This window comes from Homo sapiens, chromosome 1, assembly GCF_000001405.40.
Source record: "Homo sapiens chromosome 1, GRCh38.p14 Primary Assembly".
In the NCBI taxonomy this organism is placed as follows: Eukaryota; Metazoa; Chordata; class Mammalia; order Primates; family Hominidae; genus Homo; species Homo sapiens.
Window position 1 is genome coordinate 105,915,862 of NC_000001.11, and position 14,447 is coordinate 105,930,308.

The following is a 14,447-nucleotide window of genomic DNA, read 5'->3' on the forward strand; positions in this document are numbered from 1 at the left end:
TAATTTTCTCCTGAGAAAAATGCCATTATTTTCTCTAATGATCACTACACAGGAAAAGTAAGTTTGCAACTGTGATGAAACAAATTAAAATTTCTCTTTTAAAAAATCTCGATTATATATAATTTACCATCCCCCGTTCCTTTTAAAACAATGCAAGCCCTTAAAAAAGAGGTTTTTAAAAACATATTTTATTTCTGAAGCAGCCTTGAACTGACGGATCCCTAAATTTTAATTTTTTTTTTTTGAGATGGAGTATCACTCTGTCACCCAGGCTGGGGTGCAGTGGCACAATCTCAGCTCACTGCAACCTCCACCTCATGTGTTCAAGTGATTCTCCTGCCTCAGCCTCCTGAATAGCTGGGACTACAGTTGCCTGCCACCAAGCCCAGCTAATTTTTGTATTTTTAAGACAGGGTTTCAACATGTTGGCCAGGCTGATCTCAAACTCCTGACCTCAGGTGATCTGCCCGCCTTGGCCCCACAAAGTGCTGGGATTACAGGCATGAGCCACCGTGCCCGGTCAATTTTAAAAGTATTTAAGTCTCAGAAAACATTCTCTGGGTATTACATATTTTGTGATAGAATTTATATGCAGAATCAAAGTTCATAGGAATCGAGAGTATACATATTTTTAAAACATCTAGAAAGTTAAGTCAAAATATGTACTTCTGTAAATAATGAAATGCAGAATTATTATTGCATTTTATCCTATTTCTTTTTGTTTATTTTCTGCATGTCAAAACAAACAAGCTGTAAACCCTAAAATAGGAAAGTTGAAAGCATAAAGCAAGGTTTTCTCTTTAATGTTCTCACAGAACTTTAAGATGTTATAAGAAACATTTAGCCAAAGAAAAATAATGGACATAATTTAATGCCATTGAAGAAGTTCTTCCACCTCCACTCCAGTGTAAATTTTAGCTACCAATAAAGTTTCAAAGAAACAAAAATGGCTAAAATTTCACCTCAAAATTAGGGGTGAGTTAGTATTAGAGAAAAAGTCACTAAGATATAAGTAAAATATGTTTCATAAAATTCTTTTCAATCTGTCAATACCTTATAGTCTATACACACCTTCATTTACGTTAATCGTTTTAAAATTTAATGTAAGAGAAGGGTGTGCTTCATATTTACATTTCAATTAAAGTATTTTTATAAAACTATATTTTATATTTTAATTGTAATAAACAAACATTTGAAAATCACTACTGAGATCCTTTGGCCACATCATACTATCTTAGTAACTATTGACATACACATACACATATACATACATATAATTTTATATACGGTGATTCGGGATGAGCTATCTGAGAAGGTGAGATTTCGGCAGAGATACATATGAACTTAGAAAGCCTCTGAATATGTGGAATGAAAGAATTCCAAGTGGAGGATTGGCAAGTGGCCTGTGGCAGGAATTTGCTTGGTGGTGGTCAAGGAAATTGAAGCAGGTCAGGGTGACTAAAGTAGAATGCCTGATACAAAAAGATATAGAAAATATGGATATAAAGATACCTAAATTTTATAGATTTTAGAGTCTTATCAGCCACAATATGGACTTTGGATTTTATTTTGAATATGATGGGAAGTCTTCTTAAGGTTTTAAACATGGGAATGATGAAATGGCTTATTTTTATAGGATCACGGTAATTATAAAATATTCTACAAGTGTTTAAAGTTGAAAGCAGGAAGAATATCAAGAAGATTATTTCAGCGGTCATTTTGACTAGAGTAGTCTCGGCAGAGGAAGTACGAAGTAGTCAGAGTCAGCCTGTATTCTTGCATTCAGATGGTAGATTCAGTATATTTTACTGATACAATATATGATAGAGTTTGAAGAGTCAAAGATGACACTGAGTTTGCTTGTCTGAACACATGAATCAATGAGGATATTTTTTCTGATTTAAGGAGAACCCAGGATGAGCAGATTTTAGGCTTGGGCCTGGTAAGCTTGAAAAACCTGTTAGATACCTGAGCAGAAATGTTAAGGAGAGAAAGGTCATCATAGGTATTATTTGTGAGATATCACCCACTTGCCCCTCCAGATTGGCTTTCCACCCTTTTCCACTTTGTTCTGTGCCCAATCTTCCTTTTTTTTCTGTTTTCCATTGTTTATTTGTACAAATGTATGGTACATGTGGAATCTTGCTACATGTATATAATGGATAGTGATCAAGGCAGAGTACTTAAGGTGTCCATCACTAAAGTACAGTACAATTTTGTCAACTATAGTCACCATACTCTGCTATCGAACATTTGATTTATTCCTTCTATTGAACTGTATGTTTGTACTCACTAAGAAACTTCTCTTCATCCTCTCACTTCTCCTTACTCTTCCCAGTCTCTGTTCTCTATTTTTCCATCCATGTGAACAATTTTTTTTTTAGCTTCCACATATGAGTGAGAACATATGATGCTTGTCTTTCTGTTCCTTGCCTATTTAATTTAAAATAATGACCTCCAATTCCATCCACGTTGCTGTAAATGGCATGATTTCATTCTTTTTTTGTGGCCAAATGGATTTTTTTAAATGTAGTATATATATATACAATGGAATTCTATTTTTCTTTTGGTTTAGCCAGTTGGAAGACCCAGAGGGAAAAGAGAGGGAAGGAGTAGAATAATTATGGGTACCTATTATTTCTACTCCCACTAGAGTCATATCCAGCTTTAGGTGCTTGTTAAACGAAGGTCACTCCTGCTCTCAGGATAACCTTTTTTTTTTTCTTTTCCTTTTTCTTTTTTTTTTTTCTTTTTTTGTTTATTTTTGTTTTTTTGAGATGGAGCCTCCCTCTGTCTCCTAGGCTGGAGTGCGCTGGTGCAATCTTGGCTCACTGTAACCTCTGCCTCCCGGGACAACACTTTTATATTTACTTTTTTTTTTTCAAGTTTTGTATAGTGCTTCTTCTCCTAAACATTTGGGTCTTAAGTGTTTGTAATTCTATAGTTCTTAATCTCAGTATGCTGCATAATTTTCTGTGGTTTCTCTATTTTCTGCTCATACTTAATTAAAACCTCAAATTATCCTAATTTGATGGAATGCATCTGATTTGTGATTTAACTCATTTAATACAGTAATTGGTACTGAAATTGTCTCTAGGAAATAAACCCTCCCAATAGAATTCTTGGATTAGGCTGTTCACCTATTAAAGGAGCTCAGAGATAACCATCAAGCTGGGGGGAAACTGAACACAAGATATCCATGGTAAGCAATACAATTATGACTAATCAAATAACCAACTGGTTGTATGGAATATGGTACAGGTTCAGATCAATATACTGCGAGTACAAGTGACTATGCCACTGTTATGTTGGAAATAGTATTCACTACATTTATAGAGTCACCTGGCTTCTTAGAAGGGTGTTGAAGTGTGTATATGAAGAAAAAAGAAATTAAAAGTGATGGACATATAATTAAGCACTTCCATGGAAATTTAAAAATGTCCCTTGTCTCCTGCAATAATTGGGAGTTTCAGACTGAATCTAAGATTAAGAGATACAGAGTTAGATTGTCAAATGTTTCACGCTTTATAACTCTTATGTTAAAGTAAGCACACTGTTAAGGAATGAATAGGACCTTAGAATATGAGGACATTTTGGCAGGTATAGATAAGGCCAAGAATTCCAAATTTCCAAGCTTCTGTAAACCTCACTTGCTACTGGAGACAGACATCCTTCCTCTTTTTGAAGAAGCCAGTTCCTCCACTGCATGGAAGTCTTTCTGTAACTTCTTCTGGAAAAATTGCCTCAAAAGTTGAAGCTTAGTTACCTCAGAACTACCACTTACATTCTTATTGCTGTAAGTCATTAAAGAGGTTCACCCCAGCACCATCTCTCATAAGATATAAAGGCCTATATGAGGAGACAACCATTGAGGAAAGATAAAGTCTCACAAATCTATTTCTGCAGGACTGTGTGGTGTATATGTGGAGAACAGAAGAATAATTGAGCAAGTTGGGCAAAATTGAAGGCTCAGCGGGACACATTTCTTGCCACAGTGTTTAAAATTTAGTGAGTTGGGTAGAACACCTTGGAGAGGAGTAATTCATGTGCTATGTTAGTTAATTAAGGCCTAGACTCAATACGGCCTATGGTTGGATGAGGTAAAATTTGGAACTTTCCTGGCACACTGTAGAAGAGTGTCCAAAGGCTCAGGAAATGGGATGTCCCTCTTCCTAAACTTTATGTGGTCTCCCTACCAGAGTGCAGAGAGGCTATTTATAAAACTATTTTTAGGGTGCAGGAAAACTATTGAAATATCCTTTGAAATACCAAAGGATATTACTATCCTGCTGGTAGTAACAAAGAGGCTGTTACCACCACTGGGGCCATGGAGAAATGTGGTTACGGGAAATAAGATTAAATAATGACATGAAAAACAACAAATGAACACTGATTATTTAAAAAGAACTGACTTAAGCAAGCTAGACAAGCTAATAATGAGAGGTTTTGAAAGGGATTTGATGGCAGAAATTATAACTCTATTGGCATGCGTCACCTCTGCACATGGTTGCCTCCTAAAACCATGGTTTCTTTTTCTCTCCAAGCCTCATCCCAACCCTGACTTTCAAAAGGTACTTGGTTTATGAGCATTAATGTTTTGTTTTCCATTTTGGTGTGAGTTTTATTTCTTAAAACTATATCTAAAATTATATCTAAAATGGGGATAGCAATAGTCCCTACCTCATAAAGTGCTTATAAGGATTAAAAGACAAAGCACCTGCAAAGCACTTAGAACAGTACTCTCAGTACATTTTAACTTGTATTAAAACTAATAGGATTATGCGTATTATGAAAACGACAGTATCAGCTAGATCAGTCCTTTAATGTTCACCTGAATATATCATTTCTATCTCCACATTTATATTGATGTTGTACTCTCTGTGTCCTGAAAAACAATTCTTTTCTCAACTGCTATAATTTCATATTTAGCTTTTTGTATCTAAACAAATTAGCTCTAATTCACCAAATTACCACTTATTTTTATATTACCCACTTGGCATTTTAATTATCTTTTTTATTGCTGAAAGGATTTCTGTATTTATGGTTGTTAACTGTTAAAGGAAACCACAGTTGGACAGTTAAAAAACAAACAAAGAAACAAACAAATGAAAAAAAAAAGATTTTATTCAGGACCTATTGCAGTGGAGGGAAAGAGATCTCAGTATAGAGCTGGGCTCAATTCCCAATATAGGATGGGCAAGTGAGGGTTTATAGCTAAGAATCAGGATGTGGATCAGTGGATGGAAAATTACTAAGAAGAAATATCAGGCATTGGGGGAGATTCTGGTTATAAAGACCTATCAGGTTTCTTGCCGAACTTAAATCAGGGTGATCAGATATCACGTGGGGAAATGTGGGGTTGTGGAACTTCATCAGATATTTAGGGGATCATATATCAAGGATGAGAGATTCTCCCTAAACTAACTTAGCAAATTCCTTACCAAAATTAAGAAATGTAGGTATTACAATGACTGACACAAAGGTCCAGGTCTAGAGGGCTTAGAGGAACCTGACTAGAGTTAGAACAAGAAAGGTATATTGTCTTATCTCTAACTCACTGATAACTATTTTTAAAAATTGTCCTCAGAAATAATTTTTTTAATTTTATTATTATTATACTTTAAGTTTTAGGGTACATGTGCACAACGTGCAGGTTTGTTACATATGTATACATGTGCCATGTTGGTGTGCTGCACCGAGAACACATGGACACAGAAATAATTATTTTGAAAAAGGAAGATTAAATGCCATATTGCTGAATCATGTGTATTATTTTTAAATGTTTTTCTAAATTGTCTAAATCCGTTGAATAATTTCTTAATTTTAACAAAAGGAATCTGCAAATACCATCAAAGAAGTTTAGAATGTTCAGTTTTTAAGACTTGAACATTGTAGCCACATAATATATATTAAATAGTCACAAAATACCAACATTTAGATAAACTGATTTACATTGGTATAAATGTCATTTCAAGAAAGCATGACAATTTAGAATCCCTTCATTTGGTAATAATTACATTCAGAGAATTGCATTTTTAGATGTGTAGATTCCATGCCAAGTTATAATGGCTACTGTGCAATTATAAATACCGTTTCACTGCAACTTTCCAGTTAACTTCTAGGAGCAAAGGTATAACTGAAGTACATATATTAACATTTCATTCATTATCCAGGTCTTGTGTATTTTACTTCTGAAAGTTAAAATATCTGTTGGTCTAAGGATAATTTCTAGCTATAAAATCTTTGAGGTGGATTTTTACCTGAAATCTTTTTTGTAGTAGCTAATTTAAAAAACATTTTATAATGTATACTTGAATCTTTTATACCTACTTAAATATGATTAGTGTCAATGTTTGTGTCATAGCATCTCCTCTGATAATATAACACTCTGGCTTAGACAATGAGAGCTCACCATCACATATTCAGTGTGCTCCTTTATATTTCACTTGCAGGTAGGTTGTTCCCTTGTCACCAGTTTTGGCTAAGAGACTGTGACTGGAAGGGATGGAAATGTATTACATTGCTTGCTAATTAATTTGTCCACTTATATGTGGCTCTATTAGGCAGGCATTACATAGGTTTCAGAAAATAATAACATTTTCAAAAACTATAATCTGTTTATATTATCATGCAGCTTTATTAGACAGACATAACACATTTTAGAAAATAATTGCATAGTTTCCAAAACTATAATTTGCTCATGTTATTAGGATAAGCTAGACTATGCTGTGTTTTTGTGATAAATTAACTTAGAAATTATAGACACACAACATAATTTAGGCTTATTTTTTTTTCCTACTCTGAAGTCAGAGGTAGCTTTATAGCTGTCCTCCCTCTGGAAGCTATTCCATCTGAAACACATGACCTTGTAGGCCCTCATAGGAAAATAAGGGAGATATGACGAGAAACCCCTCCTAGTAATGCCCTCCGTGTGGCGATATGGATCACCTCCACCCAAAGACATGCTTGATATTTAAGGCTCTTTCCTTACTATACGAATGCCAAGTATAAAAGCAAGTAATTATAGGAAATCTTGACAGTAAATATTTACACACACACAAAAAGGAATATCAGGGTCTTCTAGATTATTAGCTCAAAAACCAGATGGAATATGTTAAAATACCATCAGTCCAGTTTATTTGACTATGTTCTACTAGACAATAATTTAACTCTTTGTCTCAGTTTGTTCAGACATCTATAATTAAGTACTATAGGCTGGATGTCTTACAAACAACAAAATTTTGTATGTCTCACAGTTCTGAAAGCTTGGAAATTTAAGATTAAGTCACTGGCAGATGTGTTGTCTGCTAATCTGAATATTTTCAAATTAAGAGCATGGATTGGGAAGTATGAAAAGTTGTATAGAAACCTAAAGTTTTAAAAATAGATTTGAAGTTACTTTATGTAACCATTTATTCATTCAGCAGCTATTTACCAAGAGTACTTTTGGCCATAGTGCTTTTATAGCTGCAGGGACTCTGTGTTGTAAAATAAACAAGATCTCTCTGCCTTCAATAAGCTTAAAGCTCAAAAGTGGGGGACACAGATAAGGATCTTAGAAACAAAATTGAAATGGAAAACATTTATTTTGTTAAGAGCATAAAGAATTTTATGTAGGAGAGTAAAATAGAAAAATAGTAAAATAGAAAGTGACAAATACTTAGAATATGTGAGCTGTGTCTCTCTGGTAATTTGATATTTTATTAAGATCTTGGTTATGAAAAAGAAGAACAAGCTATAGGACGATTTGGGGGCACAGCATTGCAAGCAGAGGAAAGAATAAGTACAAAACCTAAGAAGGGAATGAGATTGGTTAACTGTATGTAGGAACCAAAAGAAGGCCTATGTGGCTGGGGTACAGTGATAGAGAGAATTGTAGAAGAAAATAACAGACAGAAAATTAGACAGGGGCCAGATTATGTAATATTTTATAGACCTCAATCAGAAATTCTGATCTTTCTTTAGGTAGTTTGGGAATCTATTGGAGGGTTCAGAGCAGGGAGGTGTGTGCTCTGAGTGGCTTGCTGCTGTATGGAATAAAGGACTGTAGGAGAATAAGTGTACAAGAAACTCATTTGTAAAGTTGGATAAAGATAGTACCTACTTCAGAAAATTGTTATAAGTATTTAATGAGTGGATATATGTTATATTCTTAAGTAGTACCTGGTATATACTTAGCACTCCAAAAATATATGTTAAATAAATAATATTGGTTTATACTGAGGTGTTTTCAGAATTACAAATATAAAAATGCTAGTGATTATTTAAAAACTATTTCAAACAGAGCACAAAAATGATAGGTTATCTCTAGGGTACAGGTGATCAGTACATTTTATCTCTGATTGTTGAACTCTTGTTCTTTCTTCTAGTCTAGTTCAGTTATTATCTGCTATAGAAAAAAATTCTGAACTCACACCTTGAGTATAACAGTTACTATACTCAAATTTGCATTAAAATAACCAATTACAAATTCCTTCAGGGTAAAGATTCTCTATCACTTTTTATAGCTCCATAATAGGTAGTAAGTTTCCTTATATGCAGAGAACCAACTAAAATTGCCCGGCATTAGAAGGAGGGCATTGAAATTCAACAGAATTAGAAAAAGTAAGCATTTGAGGATGGTGATCACTAAGTGGAAGATTAGAAAAATAATTTCACAGGAACAGAATTCATGTATGCATTAGTCAGCCATTTAGCAATTAGTCTTACAGATACGATTTTGAAGATACTCTATTTTATATTAAAATATTAAGAGTTTTGTGGTCAGGTCAATTTTTAAGCACTCTTATTAACCAATTAAGCAAAAAAGTCAATAGACATATGGAAAAAATTGAGCTATACACATATTCTGATAAATCTTCTAAAAGCTCCTAAAAACTATTTCTTCACAGAGCCTGTGTATGAATTCCATTAATTCAAATGGAAATTCCACATATATTGTACCTCAAGTGGAGATGAAATTCCTTTTATATTCAACTCTATAGTTCAGTACTGTACATTAATTGTTTTGATGTATGATTCAAAGTATGGGTTATGCTTAATGCACAAAGCCTTAAAAGATGAAAAAAGGATAGCTGAAGCTTAACACTTACATTTCCTTAAACAAAAAAGGTGAACACAATGGAGAGAAAGAAATATCTGTGTTTTACACATAGATAAGGAGAGTATGTGTGAAGTTTTGTATAGTGAATGAGTTAGGGCAATGATGAAAGGGGGAGCCTGGAGCTTTCTTCCAGGGAAATTTTTTCAGCTACTTAATACTCATTGAAAGCCTTCAGAGATATTAACTGTTATATATATATATGAATGGGAAGCTTTTTATATTTTCATTTCTCAACTCTTACAGATTGATAATGGCTTAAGAATACTTTGCAATTTAAAACTTCTAATGGTCTCCTTGCTTTTGCCCTTGCCTCCCTATTGGCAGCTAGAGTGATCCAAAGAAGCAAAAGTAAAGGCATGATACCCCCTGCTCAAAATATACAGGTCCCTTTCATCACATTCAGGGCGAAATCCAAAGGTGTCACACTGGCTTGCAAAGCCCTAAATTATTCAACTCCTATTTCCTCTCTGACCAAGATACCTGCTTCTCTACCCACCCTGAATAGCAGGAACATAACTGCCTCATGTTCATTGTTCTTTCTGTTCCTACTGCTTGGCCAGCTTTTTCCCAAGGACAAAATGTGATTCACTGATTAGTTTCTTCAGGTCTTTGAACAAAAATTACTTCAAAGGAGGCTTTCTCTAGCCATTCTACTTTACTATTTAAAATTACAGCTGCTCACTCCCCAGTGCCCTATGCTTCTCTACTCTCTTCACTGCTTTATTTTCCTGCATAGATGTATCACCTCTAGACCTCATATTTTATTGTTTTGTCTCTGTGGGTATATGCACACGTGTGTGTGTGTGTGTGTGTGTGTGTATTCTCCAGTTAGAGCTTAGAATTCATGAAAACAAGATCTTTTGTTTTGTTCTCTGAAGCATACAACCCCTATATAGTGCCTGGCACATTCTAAGTGTTCAATATAAATATGTTGCACCAATATTTGATGAATCAATAAATGAATGATTCCAAAAATAAACTAACTGAATCATTAGGTAATAAAGTTTTACTTTAAACAAATTATATCCTTATGATCTATATTTTGAGAGCTTGGCAAAAAAATACTATGTATCTTCTATTTCTATAAGTCATTTATTTTTCTGTTCTTTGCATTGTAATACAATGTCTATGATAGTCATCTACTGAGAAAGAAATCTGAAAATGCACTGACATCATAGGTTTGTAATATTTATGGTTTTCTTTATTTATTATTTATTTATTTATTTATTTGAGGTGGAGTCTCGCTCCGTCCCCCTGACTGGAGTGCAATGGCACGATCTTGGCTCATGGCAACCTCCACCTCCTGAGTTCAAGAGATTATCCTGCCTCAGCCTCCCAAGTAGCTGGGATTACAGGTGCACGCCACCACATCTGGCTAATTTTTATATTTTTAGTAGAGATGGAGTTTCACCATGGTGACCAGGCTGGTCTCAAACTCCTGACCTCAAGTGATCTGCCCGCCTCGGACTCCCAAAGTGCTGGGATTACAAGCATAAGGCACCTCACCTGGACCATTTTCTTTCTATCTTTGCAAAATATGTCCATGTAAATGTGCAAGAATGGAATATACTGTTTATTTTATTTTTATTTATTTATTTATTTATTTATTTATTTATTTATTTATTTATTTGAGATGGAGTCTCTCTCTGTCACCCTGGCTGGAGGGCAGTGGCGCAATCTCGGCTCACTGCAAGCTCTGCCTCCCGGGTTCACACCATTCTCCTGCCTCAGCCTCCGGAGTAGATGAGACTACAGGCGCCCGCTACCACACCCGGCTATTTTTTTGTATTTTTAGTACAGACGGGGTTTCACCGTGTTAGCCAGGATGGTCTGGATCTCCTGACCTCATGATCCACCCGCCTGGGCCTCCCAAAGTGCTGGGATTACAGGCGTGAGCCACCATGCCCGGCTATACTGTTAATTTTTCTGTTTATGATCTGGTGTGTGATTTCTTTTTTCTATAATTTTGTTAAATTGATTTGATTGAGCAAACACATAAAGGGTGGGGAATGTGACTTAAGAAAAAATAAACAGTAGATTCAGCTTGATTGAATGGTAATGCTCTTTTTTCCAGTAGTTTTTAAGGGTGAAGAGACTAGCTGATTATGAAAACTGACTACCTTATAAAATGGGAAAACGTTTGGATTATCTGGTGTTTAGCTTAAAAATATTTTTTTCAATTATTTCTTAAAACTGCATGTGAATCCACAACTGTCTCAAAATAAAATATTCTAAGGATTAATTTTACTTTATTTTTATTTATTCATTTAAAAATCATCATTTTTTCCTAGCAACTACTATGTTGCCCACATATGGCTCAAGTATCTAATGAGAATACGGTGTTTGAATTGTGGTTAAAATTGCGGGAAAAAAGCAAAATGTCATTTTTCAAGTATCTTACATATTAGGAGACAGAAAACAAATCAATAAAGAGGTTTTGATAACAGCTCTAGAAGAAAATAAAGTGAGATAAAGGGTCAGATATTGCCAGATGGTGCCATTTTTGATAAGATGATGATGATGCTGGAAATTATCTCTGAGGAGAAATATTTTAGGAAAGGGAGTGACCATTTCAACTATTCAAGGGAGAGTATTTCAGGAAGAGAAACTGGCAAAAGCAATCCCTGGAAGCTTCATATAGGTGTCTAAACTCTGGGGCTGAAGATAAAGTTTTTATTGACAAAATGTACAAATTTGTTCCATTCTTCTATTGCATCTGTGGTTTCGGGTCATCCAAATGATGGGTCAATCTAAAAAATTACAAAAATATACACAGAAAAAGAAGAAATATTTACTATTTCATAATATGGAATTCATTATACACAATCACAGGGTGATGGGTGCTGACCAATAAAATAGCAAATGGGTGATTTATATATATTATCACAACTTCCTCACAGTTGCCTTCTTCCTTCTTTGTAACATGTAAGTATATTTTTGTCTTCATAATTATTAGGATAAATTTTAACAAACGGTTTATGGCATAATCATTTGCCAAAAGTATTTCAGTAGTTGCACAAGAATAGAGATTATCAGTGCAAATCCAAAGAAACCTGGGTACCTCAACTTCACTCTCCACCCACTCCTCTCCCTTTCACTGCCCAGTTCATTTTCCTTTGCTTCACTTTCATATTCTATTTATTCATTCTTCCTTTTTATTGACATTTATAATTAACATGTACGCACACACGCTTATATAAATACTATTCAATAAATTTCATAATGCATTTCAACTTAGTTTGGATATTTCAAGAGCAAGAATTACATATTTTCATTTTTGTATGCTTAACAATATACAATACTCAATACACGCAAGCATATTAAATGTTCCTTACATGAAATAGTGCTGTTAGATAGAGCATAATAAAGGCATAGAGTCGGGAATATACAAAGTAACTCCCCAAAATTGAGTTGTTGTTCTATGTAGGCTAATGGTTAAAACATGTGAAAGGAAAAATAAGACTCATTGTCAATATGGATTGAAGGGCATATTATTCCCTTTAGTTCTTATACCAACCATGGGATGTTGATAGTATCATCATTCCCATTTTACATAGAAGAAAACTTTGGCATAGCAAGTTTATACCACTTACTTCATTTGTTTAATAATAGAGGTTAGAACATAAATTATCAGTATTTTCTAACCTGCTACAAAATAGTGTGGAAGATTTCACTTGCAAATGACAAAAATCCCTATTCTAACCCATTTAAAACATCTGAAAAGCAAAATTGGTTTCACATAGAGTTGGATTCAGTTAGTCAAAAAAAAAATTGCACGGCAATATCTCTCTCTGTCTTGATGCTAATTTCCTTCGTGCTCCATTCTCACGCAGGTTCTTTCTTTATATTGTATATTTAGCTTCCAGCAGCTTCAGCCTACATTCTAATCCCTTAGCAGATGCAGTTATAAAAGGGGCATGGTATTTTCCAAGGATTGCCATGCCTTTTCAGAAGTCTTTTTAGTCTTTTTAGCTCTGGATGGTGTAACTACAGCCAATTATGCATGTCTGAACTGTAGCCCCTTATATAAAAGGCTCAGGTTGGTCAACTTTCAGCACTTTTAAGTACTTTTGAGACTGTCTTCAAAATACATTCTGAATTTGATTACTTCCATTTATTAATTTTTTGCCACCTACCCACACCATCGATTGGTAGCACTACCATAATATTTAACGGATTTTCTTGCTTCCAGTTTGATACCTTTAAGCTCTATTTTCCACAAAGCAGTGCAGATTGATTTTTTTTAAAGTTTAATCACAGTAGTCCTAGTTCTAAATGCATTTATAACTTCCCACTGATTTTAGTATAAAATTAAACCTCTTATCATGGCCTAAAAAGTTTTACATAATCTATCACTGCATAACTGTGGGACCTATTCTCTTACATTCTTCCTTTTATTCACTGGTCTTTTTTTTGCTTTTTTTCTCTTTCACACAATTGTACGTCAGTGGATATTCCAGCATTCACTGAAAATTCCCTTACCAAGCTTATTTATTTTTTAAAAGTTTTATCAGTGTCTCGTTTTCTCATCTGTACATTGAACACATTGCACCTATGATAAAATGGTGATTAAATGTACTAATAACCAAAATGTGCTTATGAACTTTCTCACTACATGAAAATTTGCATTATCATTGTCATCACCAACCTCACTCCTACTGTTACCAGACAGCGTTTCCAATCCAGACCTCAAGAGAGGGTTCTTTGATCTCATGCAAGAAAGAATTCAGGATGTGTCCGAAGTGCAAAGAAAAAGCAAGTTTATTAAGAAAGTAAAGTGGTAAAAGGACAGCTACCCATAGACAGAGTAGGAGGTTCCTGAAAGTAAGAGAAAGAACACATTCACCCTAGGTGCAATGTTTGTATATATGGGAGATGTGTTCTGCTTCAAGGTTCTGTGATAAAGAATTAATTTTCTTAATTACTATGTTTTGCAAGAATCAATATTATTATCTTTAAAGCAAAATTAGGAATGACTTTGTTCTCTAGATATCAGTATATCTGAACACTCTCAGTCTGGGTCTTAGTAAACACTATTGATTTGTTCCCTTAACCATAAACATCTAGAAGCTAGGAATGCCTAATTTTCTGGAAATTTAGCCCAGCAAGTTTCAGCCTCATTTTCCTAGTGTTCACTCAAAATGGAGTCGCTCTGGTTAGAATGCCTCTGACACTACCAGAAGAGTATTTTACTTATCTATATGTATTCCTGCATATTGTCTTCCTCCTTAGTTGCATTAACTTCTGTGGGTGCAAAGGCTTTGTAATTTACCCTTTATCACCAGAGACAAATATAACACCAGGCATCTAGTAAGAAGTCAATACATATTCATCGAATGAATAA

General features: G+C 34.5%; 1 long non-coding RNA gene across 1 annotated transcript in view; it reads right to left on the minus strand.

The window, feature by feature from the left end:
- Window positions 1-11,762: 11,762 nt before the first annotated feature.
- The window catches only part of LINC01677 (long intergenic non-protein coding RNA 1677), a 100,630-nt gene continuing 97,945 nt past the window's right edge, over window positions 11,763-14,447 (minus strand). Inside the window, exon 6 of the long non-coding RNA NR_146609.1 lies at window positions 11,763-11,853. This is a non-coding gene — a long non-coding RNA (long intergenic non-protein coding RNA 1677). The remainder of the gene's footprint in view (window positions 11,854-14,447) is intronic.